The following is a 27,633-nucleotide window of genomic DNA, read 5'->3' on the forward strand; positions in this document are numbered from 1 at the left end:
CTTGGCTGCAGTGGGAATGCCCAGCAGGAAGGACAGCAGGATCCAGGAAATCTCCCAAAGTCACTATGCTGCACGGCCCCACCCAGGCCCCAGCGCCCTCCAGGCCCCTCACACCACCTAGGCCAAGCCGCCCAGCCCTGCCCGCCTAGGCTGCCCACTCAGCATCGCTCCTTCCTGCCCCACCCACTGCCATCTGGGCCTGGACGGCTCCAGGATATCCTGGACAGTGGGGCAGGCTGAGGTGAGAGAGCTGACCACTGTCCTGACCCAGCCCCAGGGCTGCACCCTCATCCAAAGGCTGGGGACAGCTGCCCCCACCTCCTCTTAGGCTGCAAGCTCTGGGGGCAGGCACACTCCTCACTCCTTGTCTCACAGCCCTGCCCAGAGCCTGCACCTGGAGCAGGACAGGAACATCACAGCTCTGCCATGTACCCTCTGCAGCCACCACTCTGAGGAGGTGAGGAGTGTCACTGGCATTTCATAGCAGCACAGACTGAGGCCAGAAACCGGAAGTGTCTGTCCAAGGACACAGGACACTGGTCAGGGCCAGAGTTAAAACCAAAACCCAGACTCCCATGTCAGGGGAACCCTGGAGCCAGGGCTGGGGGTGCTGGGGTGGGAGTAGGCACAAGTGTTGGCTCAGGACCACCAGGTGGTGGGTGTGTGGCCATTCCTGGGCACCTGTCACCCTTGGCTTCTCTGGGCTGGCTCCTGGCGCTGTCTGCCCACTGGCACCCCACTCCCCCAGAGGAGCACCAGTCTAGAGTGGGGGTGCAGTGTGGTCTGGGCTTCTCCGATGCCCTCCTTCCTCCCCTGGTTGCCAACAATGCTAAAGCTGCACGCCTGTGATCAGGGAGGCCCTCTCAGCTTGACTGCTCTCTCCTGCCCCCTAGAGCTACCATAGTGTTTAGACAGAGGCCATCCCCAGCCTAGGGGGAGCACTGTGCAGGAGGAGGCCCCCAGGGGACCCAGAGTGAACTGACTTTAGGGAGCCCATGCTAATGACTGTCCTGGCCACACTGTGCCCCACAAGCCACAGGTGGAGTGAGGATGCTGAGGGGGCCTGGAGCCAGGACAAGGCAAGCCAGGCGGGGGCAGGTGCGGCAGGTGCTGCTGGAGTCCCCCAACCCCTACCCAGAACACACAGCAGCCTGCATCCAGGCAGCCAGTGCGGAGCTTGGTTCTTGATCCGGCTGTGACTGGCTGTGTCCTCCCTGGACCATGTGCTCAGAGATGGGACAAGGGCTGAGCGGCTTGTCACAGGCAGAAAGAAGAACAGGAACAGGAACCTCAGGGAAAGAAAGGGCTGGTTGGGGGTGGAGGGGGTGGTGAATCAATAGCCAAGGGAGGTGGGTGAAGAAAGTGAGGTGCAGCAGGTCAAATACGCAGACCAGAGTGGCCTCTCCAGGATCCCTGCCCACATTGTAATGCATGGGCTACCTCTCTCGGCTTCCAGGGCACTGCACACTCAGTGCGACTCTGGACCTCAGCCGCTTCCCCCACACAGTCTCCCGTCCCTGGTTCTCTCCACGTTGGGGCTGAGGATGTGTCTGGTGTGGACCAGCGCACACCACAGCCACAGAGCAGTGCCCCCACTCGCGCCATCTGCACACAGACACAGATGAGCCGTGAAGGTGGCATGAAACCCCGGGCCTCTGTTCCCCGACTTTCTTGCCATTCCCTGGTTGCCGGCAGGAGTCCATCTTGGGGCCCAGCTGTTTCCTCTACAACCGGAAACCCCCTTCCTCCCTTCATGGTTTTGCCCAAACCTGGCCTTCCCAGGGTGGCTGCCTTCATCGCTCCCTCCTGGCACCTCTCCCTCCTTCCAGAATCATTAGGCTCATTTCTGTCTATTTTTAGGTTGTGTCTGCACTCCCAGAGTCTGGGCCATGCCTGGCGTGCATGGCCTGCAGTGGGTGAGGTTGTGATCCGACATCTCTCCCCAGGTCAACTTTCCACTCTCCAATGGTTCTGCCTGAGTCCATCTCTCAGGTGGGGGTGAGGGTGAGCAGCACCTTGCAGAATCCCTCACATGGCTCCAGAGGTCACAGCAAGAGGGAGGAGCCATGAGGCCTGGGTTCACACCCTGGACTGGCCACTTCTCGTTATCAGCACCAGCAGGACTCTTGACCCCTCCAAGCCTCGCTGACACACTGGTGATGATTTGCATGCCCACCCTGGGCCCACTTGTGTCTAGACACCCCTCACCAGGTGGGCAGCTCATCAGCCACATGGGGCCTTGCCCAGCGAGTCCCACCCATGCAGTGTTTGGTGGGGAAGGAGGAGCACAGGTCCCGCCCAGGAGGCAGGATTCTGGGACTGGGCCTGCCTCTGCCGCCTGGGGGCCTCTCCTCCACACCTCAGTCCCATCTGGCCTGCAGGCAGGTTCCAGCAAGCTACATTCTCCTTCCTAGGAGGGTGGGGATGTTCTCAGACCCCGTAGTGCCCTGCGCTTCCCCCGGGCCTCCCCAGGGGGTAGTGACTGCACACAGCGATGGGCAACAACAGGGTCCAGGGTCCCGTCAGCGGTGCCCTCCCCATTCTAAAGCAGGCCTGGGACTCACATTCTCCAGAGCCAGCCCTGGCCCTGCATTATGCTGCACTGACCATTTTCACATGTGCTGTATAATGTCTGGTTGAGGCCAGGGGTTCTCCCCTGGGCTCCCACAGGGCTGCATGGCTGTCCCCACTAGCCAGGGAAAGGTGTGTCCCCTAGGACTGACAGACACTCCTCCCACCATCCAGGCAGCCAGTGCTCTGGCCGAGGCAGACAGCTGCAGCCTGGAGAGGACAGACAGGGCGAGGCAGGGGAAGGCAGCTGCCTGGGCCAGGACATGAGGGCCTCCAGTGTTACATTTACAGGAGGCTCAGAAAACAACTAGGCTGGGCAGGTTTCCAGTGGGCATCTGGGGTGAACTCCTTCCCCATTCAGGATCTCAGGCGAAAGCTGCCTCTATACTAGGTGGCTCACAGCTTCGGGGAGGGGTACCCTCATGGAGGTCTGCCTGCTGGAGCCCCCAGAACCCTGCGCCAGTCAACTCTTCATTGAAAGATAGGGAGGCGCAGTTTCGTTTAACTCAATTTTGCAGCCTCCATCATCTGAGTGGGTGGGTATGGAGTGTCTCATCTTGAGGTGAGGGATTCTGTGAGCGGGAGGACCCCATGGCTGGCCTGGCCTCTCAGGAGGCTGAGGTGAGGGGGCTGTGGAAGGTGAAGTCGCCCCTCCTAATATGGCAGCAGGAGGGTGAAGTCTAGCCTCGGTCACCACTTCCCCTGCCCCATGCCACCTGCCCTCCTCTTTCATGGCCAACCCAGTGCCCCACCTACCTCAGGGCCATCTGCCACTCTGCGCTTGACACCAGAGGACAAGTGCATTTCCTTGGGGCAAAGCTGCAGGCCACAGCAGGCGGCTGGCCCCTTGGGACGAGGAGAGCAGCTCAGTTTTGGTGGGCCGAGGGGCACCACCAGCAGGGAGCCTCAGAGAGCCTAGCAGGCTTGGGTGAGCTACTGAGCTGCAGGCTTGCTGGATGGATGCCCCACAGGCCAGCCCCTAGGAGCAGGACTGCCTCTGTCTCCTCTTTGTGCCACCCACACCCACCATCCACCCACTCAGCACAGCCTCTTCATGCCTGGTGGGCTCTCAGGGCAGCTCATGTGCTGCCACCTGGGCTGGCCCTCCTGGCAAGCTGGAAGAGCTCACTGGGCACATGGGCCTCCTGACCACCAGGCCCGGGAAGGACAGCTGGGGGCCAGAGTGGAGAGAAGGCTGCAGCAGGGGCTGATGTGCAGGCCCCAGACTCCCCGGCCAGTGCTCCCCACCCTGCACTGCCTTCACTGGCCTGGGGCTGGCCCTGGTCTCTGGTTCCCCCATCTCTGGCCCATGCAGCCTGAGCCCAGAGTTGACAACATGACCATCAGTCAGTCCTTCCCTGGACAAACAGACAAAGCTCCTCATGCCAGCACAACACTTGGTCCCAGGGCTGGCAGCCAGGAGCACAGAGAAGAACCCACAGACACTCACAGTGACCCCAGGAAGACAGATATCCATGCAGTGTGGCAGTGCTGTGGGATGCAGGAGCAGGCTGGACCTGAGGTTGCATTCTGAGCACCCCAGGGACCAGCTGAGGGCCTGCAAGCACAGCGGGTAGCCTCTTTTCTGGGGGTAGTAGCAGTGGCCCCTGGGACTTGCAGCTGGGCCCTACCCAGACTCCCCCAGGGCTGTGCAGCAGTCATCCACACTTGCAGCCTTCTGCAGAAGACTGGAGTGCCAGCATCCAAGGGCCGAGCAGTGCAGGGGCCTGACTCCAACTCCCCTGCCTCAGAGGGAGGCTAGCTGTGGGGTCAGTTGACACTCCGGAGTCCCCATGGAATCAGGCTAGACTTCCGCTACAACTGCACTTCTGTCCAGCCTCCTCCTCTCCCTGCATGGTGCTTGTCCTTCCCACACAGATGTCTCCTGAGAGCATACCCTCTCTAAACCCCTTCTATCAGAATCCCCAGCCCATGCACTGAGTCATAGCCCTCACAGGCAGGAACGAGATGAGAGGGCACAGAACAAGCACTCAGAAGCCAGGTGCCACCGCTGCACGTTCAGGGGCTCAATAGGCCAGAGGAGGGGGGCGTCCTCACCTCCAGGAGGTGGAGGTGCTCCCCACTGGGGCCATCCAGCTGAGCCCCAAGGTGGGAGTGTGCATTCAGGAGGCACACAGGCAGGGGAAACCACTCACAAAGGCAGGAAGGGGGATGGCCAGCTCAGGAGCTGGACGGAGGGGCAGGGCGGGGACGGCAGGAAGGCTCGGAGAGATGAAGGGAGGCACCAGAGAACCACACCACCTGCTAACATGCTCCCTAGAGCACGGGAGCGACCTGGCCTCAACCTCTGCCTCTGCCCCTCTCTGCAGACCCCAGAGGCTCACTGGCAAAATCAGTGTAATGATGCTGGCATCAAAAAGAGGCACATTAAGTCACATGTCAGTGAAACGCCCAGCAGAGCCCTTGGACAGTAGGCTGGTCAGGGGCCCTCCCAGCATCTGGGTATAAATGCACACACCCAGAATGAATGTGTACACCCAGAGCCCCCAGGCACATGACTGTACACCACACCCAGGCCTGGGCACCGGCAGGGTGGACCGAGGGCACCAGCCTCCCCACACCTGCTGCTCCTTCCTCTCCACTCTGCAACCTGGGCCCTGCCTGGCACTGGTGCTGTCCTGGAGATCCCCTCCTGTGTCTTCCCCTGACAGCGTCCCCGGTTGCCTCACATAAGACAGCTCTGCACTCGGTGCACCACCGGATGCATCTGGCGTCCTGCCCAGGGCTGAGAACACTGTGCTGCCCTGGAGTCCAACCCTGGGTGCTATGGCAGGCCAGAGAGCCACTGTGGAACCCTGGTCCCCACGGGCAGGGCCAAGTGGCTCCCCAGACCCAGACCCCACGGAGAAGCTAGGGTCCGCCCCCCTCTCAGGACCCCAGCAGGCAGACTCCCGTGCCCATAGGAGGCCTGGCCACTGTCCCGCCCCCTCCCACCTTTCCCACTGCGGGAGCCAAGGAAGGCACCTGGGTGTGGACTTCTCCTGTACAACTGGGCTCTCCAGACGTCAGCAGGCAGCAGGGCATGTAGCCCTCGACGGCCGTGATCCACAGCGCTCAGCATTCTATTTTTATCATTTAACCCCAAACTTTCTATTCCATTGTTTCTTTGACCCATCATTCAAACATGTGTTTCAAATTTTCTAAATATACAACTCTTTTAGAGTTATCTATTTTGTTATCACTTTCTCTCTTAATTGCACTGTAGTCGGAACACTTGGCCCGAATAGCAGCTTCTTTGACATTTGTGCGGGCATCTCCGAGCCAGCACTGACTGCTCAGCCTGTGCGCACCCACCAGGCTTGGTGGGTGCCTGGTGACCGCAGCTGTGGGTCTCCCCTCCAGGCCCCACCCATGTGGGAGCGCCCTCCCCCTCGGCCCCGCCCCCTCTGGGAAGTGGTTCTGGCTGCCGTGGCCTTTCCATGAAGAACAGCTGGGACCCCTGGCCATACTTGCCAGCACAGTTTACTATCAGCCCTCTCCACCACCACCACTCCCCGCAGGGCAGTTGATCTGGCCCAGGTACCTGCAGGTCACCTCACAGCAGGTCTAACTCACTCCAGCTTGGTCAAGGTAAGCCCAGCTCCCAGAAACACCTAGGCCAGAGGAGGAAGGGGCACGGGGCATAGAAGGCCCTGTCCCCGTAGCGGGGCTGAGCAGGAAGGGCCCTGCCTGCAATGGACAGTGTGGGCAGGACTTGGGCTCTCCCAGGTGCCACCAATGCTCACCTGGCCTGGCCTCGCCAGTGGGGGACTCCACTCCTCATCCAGCCACCCACTGCTAACAGCAATAATAAAATGAATAATTGATGCAGCCCCCTGCCTGCTCTGAGTAATTAACTCATGAAAGCATCAGGGCACCCCCAGAACTCCCAACCTCATCCAAGCCCCATCCTCCCAGCTGGTCCACTCACCCTGCCTCCAGCCCACCCTTCCTCCCCCAGCTCTGAGGGCAGAGGCTTGGGTCCTAGCAACTGGGGCCAACCCTCCTCTCCTCAGCCAGCAAAGCCGGGGCTGCCCAGCTCTCACCCAGAGCCTGGCTCGGGGCTGCACATTACCTTCATCCAGACCACAGCCCTGGGAGAAGCAGGGCTCACAGGGCATGCTCAGAGCACCGGCCAGAAAAAGCTGGGCACAGAACTAGCCTACAGAGAAGTCCAGGCAGGAGAAATCTGGACCTTGGAGTCTGCGTCTGTACAGGGACAAAGTGCAGATCCTCATCCTGGGAAGTACCTGGTGCTGTGGCTGGGCATGTCTCCCCAGGCCCCAAGGAGGAGGCCTGCCCCAGTGCCCCAGCTGTGGCTGGGGTCCAGGACACACCCGGATGCACTCAAGGCTGCCTGACATTCACATTTGGCGGGTCTGGGTACCAGAGACCTGGAGAGCCCCATGGGCAGAGAGAGTGGGGGAGGGTCCACCAGATTTGGGCAGCCTTGGTGGGGGTGGGGAAACAAGCCCTGCTGATAAACCATCAGAACGCGCCCCCTCTCCTCTCCCAGCTCCCGCCAGCCTCCTCCACGGAAGCTACTCTTTGTTAACAGCGTTGCCATGGCAACCAGATCCAGGGAGAACTCTCTCTTCAAGGTAGAGTCTGAGGGTGACACTTGGAGAAACAGAAGTGGTGGTGACAACAAACAGGGTGCTGGCCTCCCAGCCCCACCCCCCAGGATTCCTTCCTGGTCCAGGACCCCAGACACCAGCCCCCCAGACTGTCCCAGAGCTCTCAGGTCTGCTTCCCTCTCCTCTCCTCTCCCTGGCGTGGGTGCAGCAACGTGGCCCAGGCCAGGCACCTCTGCCACACCATGCACGGTGGCTCAGGCACTTCCATGCACCTCCCACGGATGTTCGCTGAATCTGCCAGCATAGCCACTGTCTCGTGGCTGGGCTCCAACAGGCCTGGTGCAGACTAGACCCCAGGGGATCATAGACAAGTACACCCAAGGCGGCTGCTGCAGAGCAGCCCCGGGCCCCCTGCACAGCAGGAAAGTTCAGGAAGGCACCCAAGGAAGGCTGGGAGCCTCCTGGCAGGAGGGAGACCCAGCAGAAGCCATGCCCTGAGTAGGGGAACAGACTGCTGGGTAAGGAGGCCACTGCAAATGTCCTGGCCAGGGGATGGTGGCCCGGCCCACAGAGGTGGCAGTGAGCAGGGAGAGGCAGAAGGGGCAGAAGAGAGGTCTAGAGTGGGGTGTGCTAGACTGGCTGACAACTCCAGGCAAAGGGAAGCTGGCAGAGGGGGTGAGGGAGAGCCAGCTGCCTACCTGCTCAGATGGGGAACCTGGGGCAGGCAAGGTTCAGGGGCGTGATGATGTGCATCGTCACCCGGGAGGCGTCCAGCAGGCTCACACACTGACAGAACCCAGAGGACAGGTGGGGGCTGATGAGAGCTGGAACCGGATCAGCACGGAGGAGGGAACAGATGCTGTGGCTGGGTAGAGGGTTTGAGCCCAGGTCTTGAGGAACAGGGACTTTGAGTGTCCCAGGATGGGAGGAGGAGAACCAGGGGCCGGCCAAGCCCAGGAAATGGGTGTCTGGGAACAAGGCAGTGGACATCCACGGCCTCTCAAGAAGACATCCCTGGACTGAAGGAGGTGTGTGCAGATTGGCGTGGGTGGGAGTGAGTGGGAAGTGAGGATTCAGAGTGAGCAGAGAACATGTCTTCAAAGTCAGCCCGCACAGGCGACCAGGGTGCGGACGGCTGAGCAAGTTTCGTTGTTTTTAAAAAAGGAAAAGCACCTGTCAACCGGACAGCCACATCTTTGCATCCCACGTATGAAGTGCCCACCCTGGGCTGTTCTGTCTAGAGTCCCAGCCCAGGCCTCTCTTCTTCAAGCTGGTGCTGGCCTCTGCTCCCTGAATTCACAAAGAACCCCACAGCCAGCTCACAAGAGACAAGCAGGTCTCGGAGCCCCTGCTGGCTGCCCTGGGCAGCACAGGCCGGCAGCTCAGCCCCTACCCCAGCCCGGGCAGTGCCCAGGGCAGGGCGGGCAACCACAGGTGGGGAGAAGCTTCCCAGAACAGGATCACTGGGTGTCGTCCTGAGTTGTGCCCAAAGGCACCCATGTGCTTCCTGGGAGGTGCTGCAGCAGAGCCGGGACAACCGGACTACTCTCCCTGCCTGGCTTCCCTCTCCATGGTCCACCGGGCAGGGGTGGCCACAGCAGCAGTCACACCCCCACCCCGTCCATCACAGCACAGGCCCCGCTTGAGTCCTCACACCTGTCCACTCCTGGCCGGTCACCCCTCACAGCCCTCTGTCATGGTGCCTGGAGCAGCCTCTACCAGCCTGTCCCAGGTGGTGAGCCCTGAGGCCAGAGCCCCTCTCCCACTCTGAGCAGGCCAGGACCCCGAGGGGCTTTCGGGCTTCCCTTCACACAGTGCCCGCCAAGCCACTGCTGGCCATACCAGCTGACCTTCCCAAACCCTGCTCCCGGGCTGCTAGCTGGGGAATTCCTGGTGTCCCAGCGCGCAGGGACATTCTGCATGGGTTCCTGGCAGCTCGCCACTCTGGGCCGGCCCAGAGCCCACTCTCACATACCCACAGCCCCAGGCTCTGTGCCCAAAAAGTGGCGACAGGGATACACCCAAAAAGTGGGCAGTGAGCCCTCTCTGGACCCCCGCAGGTCAGGCTGACAGCCATAGGGGAGGGCCTCTGACACCCCCAGCAATCCACCAGTGGGTATCAGAGGCCCTCCTCTATGGCTGTCAGCCCACCAGTGCCACTTCAGTCCCCTCCCTCCGCACATCACACCCTTGCTAGGTAAACACTCATCCTCCCCAGCAGGGAGTGGGCAGGGGAGGGCAGAGGAGCCGGGAGGCAGGCTGGAGTGGGTGGGAGTTACAGGAGGCAGATTGGAAGCTCCAACAGAAAAGCAGCCAGAGTGCCGGACCCAAGCAGATGGCCTCAGGAGAAAAAGGGGGAAGGGGAGGGAGGGTCCGTCAAGGGGCAGCAGGGAGGGGTGGGGGAGAATGCCTTGAGTCTCCTCCCCATCTGCTATCTGCTATGCCCCTGGCACCTACCCCCAGCAGCCCAGCGCCCCTCCCCTGGGGTGGGCCATGCAGAGAAGAGCATCCCTCCACCAGCCCCTCTCCTGAGGACAGTGGGGGGGCCAAACCCCCTGCCCCCATCCCTGCCTTGGCACAGCACCTTCACTTGACCTATTTGACAAATAGGGCTTCTGTGAAACCCACGGTTCTATTGCCAAAAACCAAAGGCCAACCAAAGCTGTCCCATCCTGCCCCTGGCATCATTCTACAGGTGGGGACCGGCGTGCTCAGGGGCTCCTGGCCACACTGTGTCCCAGTGCCCACTCGCTCTCCTCCCTGGCTGGCCCCTCCCACCGCTGGGGGCCACTGTGTGCGTGGCTCTCCCCACCGCAGCCACTGTCCAGCACAAATGCCATTTCTCCCTCCTCCTCCTCCTCCCCTGCCTGCAGTTGCTAAGTTACACCAAAAAACCCCTCTGCTCTGTGTGAACTGTTCCATTTCCACGATTTGCCAGGTGGAAGGGAGCCATCCGGCTGGCAGCTCGAAGATGCCTCCCAGAGAAAAACAAACTCACTGGCTGGCCTTCAGGCCAAGGCACACCTGGGATACCTGCTTGGTTCACAAACCCAGGGGCATGTGCAGGAGGACACAGCTTCTCTACTTCACTAGAGAGCCTGGGGGATCCACACAGCTCATGCCCTTCTCAGGAGCAGGGAGTGTGGGCCTGCTGCACCCGCCTCGCTGGGTCACTACCACCCACAGCCCTAAGGACACACACTGGCTGGAGGGGCAGAGAACCCACCCACGTGTCCCTGGCCATCCAGCCAAGGTCCTCCATGTCCCCCTGCTCCGGATCTCCCCTTCCTGGGCTGGGGTCCTGAGGTTCCAAAGCAAAGTGTCACTGGACATCAGGGTGGAAATGTCCTCAGAGGTCATCAAAACCGTGTCAGTCTACAGATGGGGAAACTGAGTCTCAGAAGCCTGCAGCCTGCCCGTGGTTCACGAATCAAGACCTGTAGCCTTTCGGCTGGAGGCCCCCTAGAGCCGCTTAGAGTCCAGGGCACCGAGGTGGACAGGCTGGGCTGGCAAGACTGCATCCGGAGGGGGCGGGAGAACCCTGGGGGGACAGAGGGAACCAAGGCCTCTGGGAGGCTCCCCTGCACCCAGCCTGACTCCTGTGTTTCAGGATCCTGCGGCCGACGGCCATCGGGGCCCTTCCTGCGCAGGACAGTGGGAGAAGAGTGGCAGTGGTGGGGAGGGTGAACCAGGGAGAAGCTCACTGCTCTGAGCAGGGAGGGAGGGAGCCCCGGCCACCACCAGGTCTCTGCCCCCAGGTGGCTCCCAAGAGGCAGGCAGCGGCCTCTCTGTAAATATCCACCAGGTCCAGCACCCAGAGGCAGCCAGAAATGCAGGGCACAGGAACCTGCCAGCGCGTCCCTCCACACACAGCAGGGGACTCCCGCCCCCACCTCTCACTCACCGACCCTCGGACCAGAACCAGCTGCACCTGCCCCGTTCCTGGGGCCGGCAAGGCCTGGGGCAAAGAGAGCGTGGTCCTTCAAATGACCCTTGCCCAGCAGGGAGAGGGAGACACCTGGCATGGCCCTGGACCTCTCCCCCAAATGCAGAGCTCAAGCCCCAATTCCTCGCCAAACAGCAAGGGCGTGAGATACCACGGCGGGGCCCAGAATGCAGAAGAGCAAATGGAAACTTCCAACTGCGCAGCCCTGAGCTCCTCCGATTCCCCAGCCCCCACCCCCACGCCAGGCCCCGGGCAGCGAACCTGCCCGCAGTGCCCACGCCCGCCCGCCGCGTGCGCTCCTGCCACGCCCGGCCCGGCCCGGCCCGGCCCGCCAGGTGCCCTGAAGGGGCGGAGGGTGCAGGGGGTCCTGGCGCCGTCCAGCCCGGGGCGGAGTTCTCAGCAACTCCGCGCGCCGGGATCCCGGCCGCCCTCCCCGCGCGCGTCCCCCGCCCCGCGCCCGGAGCCCGCGCCCCGGCCCCACGACGGCCGCGCCGGGAGGGACCCCGGGCCCGCGCACGCCGCGCCCTGCCCGCGCCGGCGACCGGAGGGCACGGCCCCAGGCGCGGGCGGGGGCCCCGAGGCACTGAGGGTCCGCGGCCGCTGCCTACCTCGGTCCGGGCCAGCGTCGCTCCCGCGCCGCCCTCGCGCCGCAGTCGGGCCCCGAGCAGCGCGCGGCCGGCGCCGGCGGCGGCTCATGCTCGGCGCCCGGGCCCGCGGCACCCGCCCACCCGCGGCCGCCCCCGCGCTGCGCCAGCTGCGGGCAGAGCAGCTCCCTCCGCAGCCGGCGCCGGGGAGCGCGAGCGAGCGAGCGAACGAGCGAGCGCGGAGCGAGCGCCGAGCGGGCACGGAGCGGGCGCGAGAGCGCGGGGAGCGGGGGAGCGGGCGGGCGCGGGACGCGGAGGGAGGAGGGTGCGGGGCAAAGGTGCAGGGGGAGGTAGGGCGCGGGACGGGGCTCGAGCAGAGGGCACTGGGACAGGGCGGGCGCCGGGAGAGGGCGGCCAGGCTTTCATTTAAAAAGGATAAGGCATCACGCCTGTAATCCCAGCACTTTGGGAGGCCGAGACGGGCGGATCACGAGGTCAGGAGATCGAGACCATCCCGGCTAACACGGTGAAACCCCATCTCTACTAAAAATACAAAAAAAAAAATTAGCCGGGCGTGGTGGCGGGCGCCTGTAGTCCCAGCTACTCGGGAGGCTGAGGGAGGAGAATGGTGTAAACTCGGGAGGTGGAGCTTGCAGTGAGCCGAGATCGCGCCACTGCACTCCAGCCTGGGTAACAGAGTGAGACTCCGTCTCAAAAAAAAAAAAAAAAAAAAAAAAAAAAGGATCAGGCAGCAGACAAGCTAGGAGGCGATGCGGCCACCGCATTTAAAAGGCCCTCTGGGGACTCCCGCAGAGCTGGCAAAATTTTTGTCAGTGGAATCAGACGGTGAAAGCCCTTCTGTGGGCAAGTCCTGGCCCCTTGGGTCACTCCCCTTAACCATCTTAATCGCCCTGTAAGGTCGGTGGTGGATTTGTTCCCATTGGACAGGTTAGTAAACTGATGCACAGGGAGTGCGGTTACCCTGCAGGGTCTCAGAGCCTATAAGTGGCAGAGCAAGGCTCCAAAGCCACCTTGAAAGATTTCAGAACCACTAAAGCAGGACACAGGTCTTCTGGCGTCCACTGGAACTTCCTGTCGCTCTGAAGGGTCACCTTCTCTTGAACGGACACCCTGTGGCCTGACCCCAGGGTGGCCCAGAGTGACTCTTGCAGGCAGTCAGACGAGGGCCAGTGAGAAACAGGTCTGGGGCGACGATGTCCCCAGGTGGAGGGGTCTGTGTGAAAAAATGGGGAGGAGCCCCACAGCACCCCTTGAAGAGGCTGAGGACCTTGCTTACTCACTTAGTCCTTGTGTCTTGAACACCTGTATGCCAGGTGTAAGATGGGGCACTGGGATTCGGCTGTGAATGTCTCTGTCTGGTTGGAGTTTGCATTCTTGTGGGAAGTAGGCAGTGAATAAAAATACACATAAATAGTTCATGTGTCAGATGCTGCAGATCCCACAGAGAGGCCCAGCAGGGAGAGGGAGCCAGCGAAGGGAGGGGGAGGGGAGCTTGTAGGGTGGGGGATTCTTTTTTATTTTTTAAGGGGAGGTGTCACTGTGTGGCCCAGGCTGGAGTGCAGTGGCTATTCACAGGTGCAATCACTATGCTCTACAGCCTGGAACTTCCTGACTCTAGTGAGCCTCCTGCCTCAGCCTCCTGAGTAGCTAGAACTGTAGTTTCTCACCACCACCCTTCCCTGCTGGGTTGGGGATTTTATTTTGGGTGATCAGGGAAATCTTGGCTGAAAGGATCATATCTGAGCTAAGACCTAACTGAGGCAAGCTATGCTGAATCCGAGGAATGAACATTTTCAGCAAAGAGAACAGTACATGCAAAGGCCCTGAGGTGGAGGATGCCTTAGAAGGAGGCCAAGTGGAGATGAGTGAGTGTGGTAGAGAGGAGCCTGCAGGAGCTGCCAGGTGGACCATATCGCGAAGAGCCTGGCCAGCCATCAGCCCTCTGTGGCTTTGACTCAGAGGGAGGTGGAGGGTTTTGCACAAAGTAATATGATCTTACTATTTTTTACAAACAATATTTTATTATGTAAGATTTTAAACGCTTATAATAGTAACGGCTAAAAAGGTATATACAATAAACTCAATGGCCCAACTTCAACAATTATCAATACATGGCCAATTCTGTTTCATCTGTATGCCCACCTACCACTCCCCATATTATTTATTTGTTTACTCATTTTAAGTAAACTTTTATAGCTTTTTTTTTTTTTTGAGACAGGGTCTCATTCTGTCCCCCAGGCTAGAGTGCAGTGGCACAATCATAGCTCATTGTAGCCTCGAACTCCTGGGCTCAAGCAATCCTCCCGCCTCAGCCTCCCAAGGATAATTTTTTGTAAGTATAACATGCATAGACAAAAATCATAAAGTTGTGCTCCATGAATTTTCAATAAGAATACACCCATTCAGTGAGAATATTAATAGCTCTCTGCACCTGGATTTTCACTGTAGAAAGGTTTTTAATGACAGGTTCATTTTCTTTAATATATAGGACCATGTAGATTATTTGCTTCTTCCTATGTAACTTTTGCAAATTGTGTTTTTTATGGATTTTGCCCATTTTCTCTAAATTTTCAGATTTTCTGACATCCTCATATTGTTGTTTATAACATCTTTTATATTATCCCGCAGATGTTTGTAGAATCTGTAGCTATGTCCCACTTGGATTCTGATATTGGGGACCTCTGTGTTTTTCACTCTCTTTTTTTGATCAGTCTTGTTAGGGTTTTGTCAGTTTTATAATTTTTTTTAAAGAAACAACTTTTGACTTTGTTCAGCTTTCTCTGTTGTACTTTCTATTTCATGAATCTCTGCTCTTAGTTTCATTGTGTTTGTAGCTCTCCTTTGGGGGAGTATTAACTGTCTTTCTCTCATTCCTTCCTTCTTCCTTTTTAGTTTCTGAAGTTGGAGGGTAGGTTCATTGGTTTTCAGCTTTCGTTCCTACTCTATGGACTTAAAGCTATATATCTGCTTGTTAAGCACTGCTTTACTCTCTCTCTCACAATTGGTGTTTTTTTCTCACTATCATTTTGCTCAAGAGACTTTTAAATTTCCATTTTGACTTCTCTTTTGGCCCATGACTTATTTGGAAGGACATTGCTTAGTTCCAAATATTAGGGGATTTTCTAGCTACCCTCCTGCTGCTGAGTTCCAATTTAATCACACATCAGGCAGAGATTTTCTGAAATCTGTTGATACATTCTTTATGGCCCAAAATATGTTCTGTTTTGATAAATGCCCCATATGCCCTTGAAAAAGAGTGAATATTCTGTATATTTCAGTTAAGTCAGGTTGGTTAATCAAAGCCAAATCTTCTATATTGTTAATTAATTGGATCTCATATTCTATCAGTTCCTGAGAGAGGTGTCTGAAAATCTCCAGTATGGTCCCAAACTGGAAACAACCCAAAAGTGGCTGACTGGATAAACTAACTGTGTGTGGTGTATCCATACAATGGACAACTACTCAGCAGTAAAAAGGAGCAAGCCATTATTCAATACAACAACTTGAATAACTCTCAGATGCGTTAAGTGAAATAAGTCAGACTTCAAATGATCCATTGGACTTTTTTTTTTTTTTTTTTTGAGACAGAGTCTTGCACTGTCTCCCAGGCTGGAGGACAGTGGTGCAATCTTAGCTCACTGCAACCTCCACCTCCCGGGTTTAAGTGATTCTCCTGCCTCAGCCTCCCGAGTAGCTGGGATTGCAGGCTCCTGCCACGACACCTGGCTAATTTTTTGTATATCTAGTAGAGATGGGGTTTCACTATCTTGACCAGGCTGGTCTTGAACTCCTGACCTCGTGATTCACCTGCCTCAGCCTCCCAAAGTGCTGGGATTACAGGCATGAGCCACGACCCCCAGCCCACTGAACTTTTATATGACATTCTAGAAAGGCAAAACTGTGGAGATAGAGAACAGCTCAGTGGCTGCGAGGAACAAGTAGTAGGGGAAAGTGTTGGCTAGAGCCTTGGGAAATGTTTAGGCACCATGAAGAGTGTCCCTGTATCTTGATTTGTAGTGGCAGTCACATGACTATGCATTTGTCAAGACTTAAAGTAGCTGCACAGCAACAAGAGTGAATTTTACTGTATGTAAATTGAAAACTAATTTTTTTTTTGAGATGGAGTCTCGCTCTATTGCCCAGGCTGGGGTGCAGTGGTGCAATCTCGGCTCACTGCAACCTCCGCCTCCTGGGTTCAAGTGATTCTCATGCCTCAACCTCCCTAGCAGCTGGGATTACAGGTGCGAGCCACCACACCCAGCTAATTTTTTGTATTTTTAGTAGAGATGGGGTTTCACCATGTTGCCCAGGCTGGTCTCAAACTCCTGACCTCAAGTGATCCACCCACCTTGGCCTCCCAAAATGCTGGGATTACAGGCGTGAGCCACCATGCCCAGCCAAAAAATAATTTTTAACCTCCAATATAATTAGGGGGCTTTTGTGAATACTTTCTCATCGCTTTTCATTCAGGTGTTGCCTATGAGTTTTTGGTTTTCAACCTCCTTTTACCACCTCTGTTTTTACCTGGCAGGCACTCTTCTGCAGGATGGTGTTCTGGCCACCAGATTCAGGGAAAGGGGGGATGGGAGGCACATCTCCAAGGATATCTGCATAGCAGGACGCAGCAGTACTTTGAGTGTTGCTTCCTTTGGGGCTTTGAGGTAGAGGAACTTCTGCTGGCTATGGAAGCTAAAACCTGTACATCAATGACACTTCAGACACCCACTGTTTACTGTGACACAGATATTGTCCTGCCCAAAATGTGCTCCCCCTTCAAGATCTCTCCAAGGTAGACCCATCACCACATGGCACTGGTTGGCAGCATGGATCATTGACTGTACCAGGTCCTCTAGATCGCTGAGCCCCCACAGACCAGCTCTTCCCAGGATTTCAGCTTTCCCCCTCCTGATTCCACATGCCAGTTCATTCAGCTTTGTTTCCACAGAATGGATTTTCAGTTATTCCATACCAATACCCTACATTTCCCTGTTCCTTTTACCTTCATGTCTCCCACCTGGCAGAATTCCTGTGACAGAGGAATCCAACTCTGCCTTCTCCAGGTCTCCCATTAGGTTTTCAGCACTGTAGAGCAGTGGTCCCCAACTTTTTGGCACCAAGGACCAGTTTCATGGAAGGCAATTTTTCCAGACAGGGCAGTGTGTGGCAGGGGAGTTGGTTTGGGGGGTGGTTTCAGGATGAAATCTTTCCAACTCAGATCATCAGGCATGAGATTCTCATAAGAAGCACACAACCTTGATCACTCACATGTGAAACTCACAATAGGGCTTACACTCCTATGAGAATCTAATGTCCCCACTGATCTGCCAGGGGGCAGAGCTCAGGCGGGAATGCTCCCTTGCCTGCCCGCTCACCTCCCACTGTGCGACCCCATTCCTAAGAGACCACAGACCAGTGCCAGTCTGTGGCCTTGGGGTGGGGGGACTCCTGCTGTAGAGGATATCATAGGGTCCTGCTATTATGCCAAATTCACGATAAATTCTTCTGTGGAACAGAGAACTCAACACTACTCTGTCATCCTGCTATGTTCCTGTCTCTCTCTTTTTTTTTTTAATTGTGAAATATGTCCTACATACTGAAGAACTGTGAAATGTAGATGTGCAGTCTCAGGAGCAAACCCATGACTGGGGTGAAGCAGTGGGGCACAAGCCCTCCCCACCACCTCCTCCCAGAGGTAACCACTATCCCGATGTTTATTTCCCTAACCCCTTAAACTTCCACCCCTAGATAGGTATGCCGGGTTTTGAACTTTTGGGAATGGTTTCAAACTCTTTCTACTGTCACTTGTTTGTGTCATCAATATTATGTTTGTGAAATCCACCCATGTTGATGGGTGTAGCTCTTGTTCATTTATGCCAACTATTGTTTGGTACTCAATGGAAATACAGCACCTCCCCCTGCCCCTACATGCAGGGTTTCACTTTCCGTGTTTTAGTCACTGGCAGTCAACTGGAGCCTAAAGATAGGTGAGTATAATACAGTTAAGATATTTTGAGAGAGGGAGACCACATTCACGTAATTTCTATTATGGTATATTGTTATAATTGTTCTGTTTATTATTGGTGATTGTTGTTAATCTCTTACTATGTCTCATTTATAAATTAAAATTTATCATAGATGTATATGTATAGGAAAAAATAGTATATATAGGCTTTGGTACTATTTGCAATTTCATGCATCTGCTGGGGGTCTTGGAGGGGACAGCTAAGGAGAGACTACTGTATTCTGTAGTATCCCACCATCAAAAAAGTTGTATATGAGGTAATGCATATGTTAACCACCTTGATTTCACCATTTCACAATGTATACATATTTTAATATAACACATTGTACACTATAAATACATACAACGCTTATTTGTCCATTTAAACAACTAATTAACTTTTAAAGGCACACTGTAATACATTTATCCAATCTACTGCTAATAGACATTTGGGGCATTGACATATTTTTGCTATTATGAACAAAGCTGTTATGAATATTCATCCATTCACTGAACAAATGTTTCTTGAGTACCTACTGTGAACTGGCCACTATTTTAGGCATGGGGATACAGCAGTGATCAAGACAGACGAAAATTCCTTCCCACAGGGGTATTCTAGAGGTGGCTGACTACAATGAGCAGGAAAAAACAGGGAAATTGTGTTTTATGTTAGAGGGTGGTAAGCACTCACTGGGAATGAAAAACAGAGAAGGTGAAAAGTACCAGGGTAGAGGCTACACAGCCCTGAGTTGATATGTAGGTGGAGACTTGGGGTGAGGACAGTGCTGTGCAGCTGTCCAGTGATAGCTCCAGCAGAGGGAGGGGCCTGTGCAAGGGGGCGGTGGGTGGGTCCACACTGAGACCAGTGGAGAAGGGCCTGGGCAATGCAGGGCAGCCTGACTCCCCAGGCCGAGGCCAGACCTCACAGGTTAAGAGTGCCCTCACTGAAAGACACACCACAAATTTGGAGGCCCCAGGCCACCTGCACTTTTGACCAACTGGGTACAAATTTAGCGGGTCCCCCTCAAGTGGAATTCACTGGAACACGCTCGGAACTCAGGCAGCGCTCTGCTCATGACGACAGCTTCACCATAGCAGAAAGGGCCGAGTCAGGACCAGCCACAAGAAGAGTCTCAAAAAAATGAAGAAGTCTTGAAGGACGAGGTCTGGGAGGGTCCCAGATGCAAAGCTTCCATGGCCTCTCCCAGGGAGTCAAGGACATCACCATCCTGACACATCCGTGGGTAAAAACATGCAAAAGGCATTGCCGATGAGAGAGGTTCACCTCAGCTTGTGTGTCTAGAGTTGGGTTTCTGCGTCCAGGGCTTCATTGCACAGGCATGACTGAGCCACCAGCACCACGTGCTTTGCGCTGCAGCTCCTCTTCCCAGAAGTTGGGATGATAGCATGTGGCTCCAAGGCCCACCCTCTAATCACGGGGTTGGTCTTTCAGGCCTGACCAGCCCCACTCTGAGCCATCTTGGCATAAATTCAGATGTGGTCTGAGGTGCCCACCAGGAATAACAAAGACATTCCTGTCACTGGGGAAATTCCAAGGATTTAGAGGCTCCCTTCCAGAAACCAGGACAAAAGCTGTCCCAATTCCTCATTCCAGAGCAGCCTGTGTGGCTGGAGAAGAGTAAGTGTGGCCAAGAATAAAAGGAGGCAAGATCAGAGGGTTATGAGGAATAGACCCAGGGAGTACTGGGTACCTGTCTCCTGGTGCCCAGGTGCAAGAGTTCCCCAAACGTAGGCTGGAATTTGCAACTCCTGGGTTGTACGCAATACACATGTTCAACTCTTGGGAAATGTCCCATTGTTTTCTATAGAATAACGACCCCCCAAATGTCTGTGTCTGAATCCCTGGAATCTATGAGTATGTTTCTTTACATGATAGCAGGGACATTATAGATGTGATTAGTGGAGGATCTTGAGATTATTCAGATGGGTCATCTCATCTCAAGGGTCCTTACGAGAGGGATACAAAGGGGTTTGAGTCATGGAAGGAGACGTGATGACAGAAGCAGAGGCCAGAAAGAGTGAGACTGGGCACAGTGGCTCACACCTGTAATCCCAGCACTTTGGGAGGCCAAGGTGGGCATATCGCTTGTGGAAGTTCAAGACCAGCCTGGGCAACATAGTGAGACCCTGTCTCTACAAAAAAATACAAAACTTAGCTGGGCTTGGTGGTGTGCCCCTGTGGTCCCAGCTACTCCAGAGGCTGAGGTGGGAGGATCACTAGAGCTGGGGAGGTTGAGGCTTTAGTGAGCCATGATTGCATCACTGTACTCCAGCCTGGGTGACAGAGCAAGACCCTGTCTCAAAAAATAAAAGAAGAAAGAGAGAAAAAGTTTGAAGATGCTCCACTGCTGGCTTTGAGGATGGAGGAAAGGACTAAAGCCAAGGAATGCCTGCAGCCTGTGGAAGGTAGAAGAGCCACAGAGACAGCTTCCCCTCCAGCCTCCAGAAGCAACCAGCCCTGCTGACACCTTGGTTTTGTCCCAGTGAGACTGATTTTGGACTTCTGACCTCTAGAAGCATAAGATTGTGGGTTTTTGTTGTTTAAGCCACAAGATCGTGGTAATTCGTTACAGCGGTAGGAAACTAATACACAATCTTTGCCCACCCCTCTAAGTGATGACTTCCCTACTTTGGCCAGCCTGTTGATTAAATTGTGTTGTCTCATTGTGGATTTCATTTTTACTTTCCTGATGATGAATGATATTAAGCATCTTTGCAGATATCTATTAATCGTTTGGGTTTACGCTTTAGCAAAGTGCCTGCTCAAGATTTTTGCTCAGGTTTTTTCCCCCATGGTTTTTAGCATGTATACAGAATTGTGTAGCCATCACAACAGTCAATTTTAGAACAATTCTATCACCCCAAGAGGAAACCCCAAACCATCTAGCTGCTTTTCCCACCCTTCCACCCCCTCCCAGTCCTTTGCAACCATTGATCTACTTTGTCTTTATAGATTTGCCTATTCTAGACAGCTCATGTAAATAAGAACCATATAACATGTGGCCTTTTGTGTCTGGCTTCTTTCATCTTGTATAATGATGATTTTCACTGTTTTTAAACTGACAAATTTAAGTTGTATACATGTATTGTGTACAACATATTGTTTTGCAGTATATGTGTATTGTGGAATGGCTAAATGAAACTAATTGACAGGCACTACCTCACATACATGTCATTTTTGTGTAATGAGAACACTTAAAATCTACTGTCTTAGCAATTTTCTTTTTTGTTTGTTTAATATTTATTTTTTATTTTTATTTTTATTTTTTTTTGAGATGGAGTCTTGCTCTGTTACCCCGGCTGAAGTGCAGTGGCACGATCTCGGCTCACTGCAAACTCGGCCTCCCGGGTTCACGCCATTCTCCTGCCTCAGCCTCCCGAGTAGCTGGGATTACAGGCACCCACCACCAAGCCTGGCTAATTTTTTTTTATTTTTAGTAGAGACGGGGCTTCACTGTCTTAGCCAGGATGGTCTCAATCTCCTGACCTTGTGATCCGCCCGCCTTGGCCTCCCAAAGTGCTGGGATTACAGGCATGAGCCACTGCGCCTGGCCTATTTATTTATTTTTACAGACACCTTCTTATTATGTTGCCCAAGGCTGGTCTCTAATGACTGAGTTCAAGTGATCCTCCTCCCTCAGCCTCCCCAGTAGTCTCTTAGCAACTTTCAAGAATCAATACATGGTTATCAACTATAGTCATCATGTTATACAATAGATCTCCTGAACTTATTCCTCCTGTCGAACTGAAATTTTGCATCCTTTGACCAACATCTCCCCAGCCCCACCCACCCCCAGACCCTGGCGACCACTGTTCTACTCCCTGCTCCTATGAGATCAACCTTTTTAGATTCCACATATGAGTGAGATCATGCAGCTTCATCCGCCTGTCACTGGCTTAGTTTACTTACTATAAGTCTTCCACTTTCATCCATATTGTCCAAATGAAGGATTTCCTTCTTTTCTAAGGCTGAATAGTATTCTGTTGTGTATAGGTGCCACATTTTCTTTATCAATTCATCTGTTGATGGACACTTAGTTTGCTTCCACATCTTGGCTCTGTAAATAGTGCTGAAAATAACATGGGTGCAGACACCTCCTCAGCACACTGATTTCATTCCCTTTGGATATATACAAGGTAGTGGGATTGCTGGATCTTTGCTCAGTTTTCTATTGTTTATTCTTCTCATTGATTTGAAAGATTTCTATATATTCTAGGTGCTAGTACAATGAGAGTTAAATGTGTTAAAAATATCTTCTCCCCCTTTGTAGCTTATGTTTTACTCTCTTTGTGCTGTCTTTCGATGCAAGAATGTCTTAACTTGTGTAATAAAGTCCCCCGTGCGACTCTCTTCCTTTATGGCATGAGCTTGTCAGCCTCCTCTTCTCTAAATTCTCAAAACATTCCCAACAATTTCAAATCCTCCAGCCTTCTCCCAGCCTTCTCTCTATTCCCCTGCCTGTCAAAGAATGACTCTCCCTCTTTTACATCCTAGGGAAATTTGAAACCACTGTTAGGAACCGTCTCAACTCTTACCCCCAAGTTTATACACTTACCTGCATACCTCCCTTCTTCCTTCCCATCATAAAGTTGCACATGGTCTCTTTTTTTCTCTATAGGTCACCCTCTCTCCCTCTGCCCTGGGTACCATCCCCACCACCCCATCCTCTTTAATATTGTGCCATTAAATATATCTTTCTAGGAGAGGGAAAACTATTTTTCCTCTACCCTTTTAGGTTCTCAGCTGGGGCCCCTATTACAAAAGGCAGATTGACAAGAGAAAAACAGACAGAGGCCGATTAACATGTACATCTCATATATACATTGGAGATATATATATACATATATGCATTGTATAGATATATACACTTATTGTGTGTTTGTGTATATATATATACACACACACACACACACACACTTATATACATTGGAGAAACTCAGGGATGAGTAAACTCACAGAGGTGGCTAGAACTTGGGCTTAAATACCATCTTCAGCTAAAACAAAGGAAGAAGGGTGTCAGGGAGGCTAGTTATAGGGATGTGACCAGTAAAAGCACAGTAGCAAGCGTAAGGTTTGGTATGCAAATTTAATTCAGTGCCTCCTCCATTGATAAGAGTCTCTTATGATTTAGAGCCATCCTTTTCTTACTGGTATAGAGAGAGACACCCTTACAAATTGACACTTTTTAAAAATAAATGTCCCTTATAAAGGGGTAATTATTTTATTATTTATTTATTTATTGAGATATGGTCTGGCTCTATTGCCCAGGCTGGAGTTCAGTGGCATGATCTCAGTTCACTGCAACCTCTGCTTCCCCTGTTCAAGTGATTCTCCCATCTCAGCCTCCGGAGTAGCTCAGATTACAGGAGTAATCCACCACACCTGGCCAGGATTGTGACATTTTCCATAAAGGCCAATATATACATACAGCAATTTGACTGGTTACAGCTTGCTGCATGCCAAGGAAGATTGCTTGAATATTCTGTGAGGAGGGGTGATGATCTGCAGGGGTCTCATCTCTGGCGCAGCAAAGCCTTTCCTAATCACTTACAAGAAGAAGCAGAAGTTGCAGCTGCAGGCTATGTGACTCAGGCTGCATAGCCACATTCCTCTCAAGGCTCAGAATAATTTAAAGTTCCAACAGCTTTAAGTTTGAATTATTTTACTTCACACACCCCAAAATATGCTTCTTTGGCATGAGGATTTCTTTGAGCTCATTACCTTGAGAAACAGCAAGCTCAAGAGAAGCTCTAAAAGCAGAATATAAAGTACCCCTTTAGAGCCAGGAATGGTGGCTCATGCCTGTAATCCCAACACTTTGGAGGCTGAGGCAGGTGGATCACCTGAGGTCAGGAGTTCGAGACCAGCCTGGCCAACATGGTGAAACCCCCATCTCTACTAAAAATACAAAAATTAACCAGCTGTGGTGACATGTGACTGTAATCCCAGCTACTTGGGAGGCTGAGGCACGAGACTCGCTTGAACCCAAGAGGCGGAGGCTGCAGTGAGCTGAGATCATACCACTGCATTCCAGCCTGGGTGACAGAGTGAGACCCTGTCTCAAAAAAAAAAAAAAAAAAAAAAAAGGAAGAAAGAAAGAAAAGAAGAGCATCAGAAAATGAATAAATGAAGGTAAAATAAAAACTGGAGGTAAATGAAGGTAAAATAAAAAGTGAAACGATGTGTGTTATTATTTTGTGTATGTGTTTGTAGCAACTTCAATTACCACTTCTGTTTCCATGCTTGTGTTTATCCATAAAATAAAAGGATGAAAAAATGTTAAAAAAAAAAAAAAAGTGAAACGAATGACAGCAATGATACAAGGGATGGGGGAAAAATTAGGACTATTTTATTTTATTTTATTTTATTTATTTTGAGATGGAGTCTCGCTCTGTCGCCCAGGCTGGAGTGCAGTGGCACGATCTCGGCTCACTGCAAGCTCTGCCACCCGGGTTCACACCATTCTCCTGCCTCAGCCTCCCGAGTAGCTGGGACTACAGGCGCCCGCCACCAAGTCCCACTAATTTTTTGTATTTTTAGTAGAGACAGGGTTTCACCGTGTTAGCCAGGATGGTCTCGATCTCCTGACCTCGTGATCTGCCCACCTCGGCCTCCCAAAGTGCTGGGATTACAGGCGTAAGCCACCGCGCCCAGCCAGGACTATTTTATTTTTATAAGGTACTTGAACTCCCCATGAAATGATGTAGCATTTTTGTTTTGTTTTGTTTTGTTCTGTTTTGTTTGAGATAGGGTCTCACTCTGCTGCCCAGGCTGGAGGGCAGTGGCACAATCATGGCTCACTTCAGCCACCATGCCCAGCTGGCTAATTTTTTATTTTTTGTAGAGATGAGATCTCACTATGTTGCCCAGACTGGTCTCAAACTTCTGGGCTCAAAAATCCTCCTGCCTTGGCCTCCCAAAGTGCTGGGATTACAGGCATGAGCCACTGCACCTGGCTAATACAGTATTATTTGAAAGTGGTCTTGGACTAGCTGTAAATATTTAGTGCAAACTCTAGGGCAACCACTAAAAAAATGTTTAAAAAAAGAAGTATAACTGATATACTAAGTATACTTATCAGCATAACTGATATACTAAGAAAAGAGAGAAAATACATTGCTCAATTAAAACCACAAAAGGCAGAAAAAGTGTAGTAGGCAAAAGTAGGAAAAAAGGACAAGGACAATGTATAGAAAACAGCAGCAAGTATGGTAGATATTAATCCAACTATATCAATAGTTACTTGAAATGTCAATGGTCTAAATACTAACTAAAAGAGACTGTCGGAGTAAATCAAAAAACAATACTCAACTATATGTTGTCTATAAAAAATTTACTTCAAATATAAAAACACATATAGATTAAAAGAGATGGAGAAAGACATACCATGCTGGCACTCATCAAAAGAAAGAAGGAGTCGCTAAATTAATTAATTTTTTTTTTTGAGACAGAGTCTCACTCTGTTGCCAGGCTGGAGTGCAGTGGCGTGATCTTGGCTCACTACAACCTCCGCCTCCCTGGTTCAAGCAATTCTCCTGCATCAGCCTCCCAAGTAGCTGGGACTACAGGCGCATGCCACCACACCACGCTAATTTTTGTATTTTTAGTAGAGATGGGGTTTCACTATGTTGGCCATGATGGTCTTGATCTCTTGGCCTCGTGATCCACCTGCCTCAGCCTCCCAAAGTGCTGGGATTACAGGCGCAAGCCACCTTGCCCGGCCAAAATGGACCAATTTCTTGAAAGACGCAATTTAACAAAAACCACACAAGAAGAAATAAACAATCTGAATAGGCCTATATTTACTACAGAAATTGAATCTGTAATTAACGACCATCCAAATCAGAAAGTACCAGGTTTAGATGGGTTTCCTGGTGAATTCTACCAAACATTTAAGCAAGAAATTATATAGTCTCTTTCACAAGATAGAAGCAGAAGGAACATTTCCTAGCTCATTCTATGAGGCCAGAGTTACCCTAATACCAAAATCAGACAAAGACATTACAAAAAAAAGATTCAACTATTTAAGAAAATATAATCTATACATACCCTTAGCTGGGTTCATGGAAACTACAATAAGTGCAAAATTCTGAAAGCAAGAAACATGTGGGGGACCACTGCTCTCTCTCTGCAGTGGGGTCTCCTGCTCTGATCCAGTGGGTGGCCTTTACCAGAAAAAAACAGAATCCACCTGACATTGGATCAAGGCAGGTGCCGGGGTCAGTCTGCAAATTAGTTATTAGTAAAGCTGAATTTCTGTATTTTAAATAAATAGATATAAATGGATCATCCTGCTTACCCAACACTGGAAACCGCTGCTATATTTGGGAACAAATAGTCACCAAATACCAGCCCAGTGCTGAGTTTGTAACATGAATTACTTTATTTAATTATCACAACTATATGAAGTGGATTCTAAGATACCACCCATTTATGAATGAAACTGGTGGCTGGGCGCGGTGGGTCATACCTGTAATCCCAGCACTTTGGGAGGCCGAGGCGAGCAGATCACTGAGGTCAGGAGTTCAAGACCAACCTGGCCAACGTGGTGAAACCCTCTCTCTACTAAAAATACAACACAGGCATGGTAGCGGGAGCCTGTAATCACAGCTACTCGGGAGGCTGAGGCAAGAAATCACTTGAACCGAGGAGGTGCAGGTTGCAGTGAGCAGAGATTACACAACTGCACTCCAGCCTAGGTAACAGAGCAAGACTCCATCTCAAAAATATATATATATATAGATATATGCAGATATAGATATCATGGCAGCCATAGCTGGGGCAGCATCCCCGTTCTTTGCTTAGTGCAGTCACTCTTCTTATTGGACATAAATCAAGTGCGACCTTATGCCCCACCTTCTCAGTGACCCAAGGCTCCAGTCCCTTCTCAGAGGGAGGGTAAAATCCAGAGATGCCCCAGCCGTCTTGCCTCTAGTTCTTGGATCTTCACAATAAGCGATGGTCATGGGGCTCTGCCAGTAGTTGGGTCAGGATTTCTTTCTATTTGGTGTTGTCCCATCCTTTTCTGGAAGAATATCTTGAATATCCAAGTTTCTGATTTGTCAATGTCACACCCCTCCAATTTCTGGCATCGATGCACGCTTTTTCTATTTCTGTGTTCTGTTCTTGGCTATTTCAATGGAAATTTGGAAATAACTTAGAGGTGCATGCAAATGTAGCCATTTTATCTGGAAGTCTCTTGCATCAAGTACAAAAGCTAAATGTTCTTTTTGCCTCTAGAATGTGATCATGGGCAAATTTTCTGAACTGAGGCATTATTTGTCTCATCTGGGCTAATGGCTTGTACCTGAAACTATTGTCTAGAGTGTATTTCTGTCAAATTAGTGGAGGCAGGAGGAGCTGGAAGGTAGAGGAAGGCAGGATCTTCAAATGTTCCCAGGATGCACTTTTCAGTTCACCCCACCCGGACCTATTCAAAGGCTGCTGTTTACAAGGCTCTTTCTAGGGTTAAGGTTTTCAGTGTGAGCTCTGTGAGCCCCTGAGGAGTGGGAAGAGACTGAGTATGAGACTCCAGCATCCCCCATTTTTTCCACTTCACCCAAGCAGCTTCGTGAGAAGATCTATGCTAGGAACATGGTCCAAATCCTGGTTGGACATTTACAGATGATGTAAGCAGGACCGAGCCAGGGGCACCATTCCAGAGTGGGAAGGGAGCAGGGGCTCCTGGGTTTCAGTCCTCGACCTAAGTCAGGAATTCCTGAGCCAGGAGCCAGGAAGTCCTATCAGACCTGGAAGGACCCTGTCACAAGAGGTGGTGGGGAGTCCTGTCCTCTCTGTACCTGAGGGTAAGGTACACTTTGCCTCCTTAAGGAGATCCAATGTCTCTCATTTCACAGAAGAAATGGGGATGTTTCTATTACATGGAAAGTGAAAGACAGCAACATCAAAGC

At 52.3% G+C, this 27,633-nt stretch overlaps 1 protein-coding gene across 1 annotated transcript in view, besides 3 other annotated features; it reads right to left on the reverse strand.

Moving 5' to 3' along the window:
* Positions 1-11,923, reverse strand: part of RASGEF1A (RasGEF domain family member 1A) — a 72,531-nt gene extending 60,608 nt beyond the window's left edge. The window contains exon 1 of the mRNA NM_145313.4: positions 11,703-11,923. The gene's annotated coding sequence lies outside the window, so the exon portion shown is untranslated. The remainder of the gene's footprint in view (positions 1-11,702) is intronic.
* Positions 806-995: a silencer, noted in NCBI's record as "silent region_2324". NCBI's record gives its function as "represses an Ori minimal core promoter by ATAC-STARR-seq in GM12878 lymphoblastoid cells {active_cell/tissue: GM12878}" and the evidence as "EXISTENCE:reporter gene assay evidence [ECO:0000049][PMID:35858748]".
* Positions 4,225-5,008: an enhancer, noted in NCBI's record as "H3K4me1 hESC enhancer chr10:43754815-43755598 (GRCh37/hg19 assembly coordinates)". NCBI's record gives its function as "activates a minimal SCP1, AML or CMV promoter by ChIP-STARR-seq in naive H9 embryonic stem cells {active_cell/tissue: H9 hESC(naive)}" and the evidence as "EXISTENCE:reporter gene assay evidence [ECO:0000049][PMID:30033119]".
* Positions 10,553-11,428: an enhancer, noted in NCBI's record as "H3K4me1 hESC enhancer chr10:43761143-43762018 (GRCh37/hg19 assembly coordinates)". NCBI's record gives its function as "activates a minimal SCP1, AML or CMV promoter by ChIP-STARR-seq in naive H9 embryonic stem cells {active_cell/tissue: H9 hESC(naive)}" and the evidence as "EXISTENCE:reporter gene assay evidence [ECO:0000049][PMID:30033119]".

The sequence above is a fragment of the Homo sapiens genome, chromosome 10 (genome assembly GCF_000001405.40).
Source record: "Homo sapiens chromosome 10, GRCh38.p14 Primary Assembly".
NCBI lineage: Eukaryota > Metazoa > Chordata > Mammalia > Primates > Hominidae > Homo > Homo sapiens.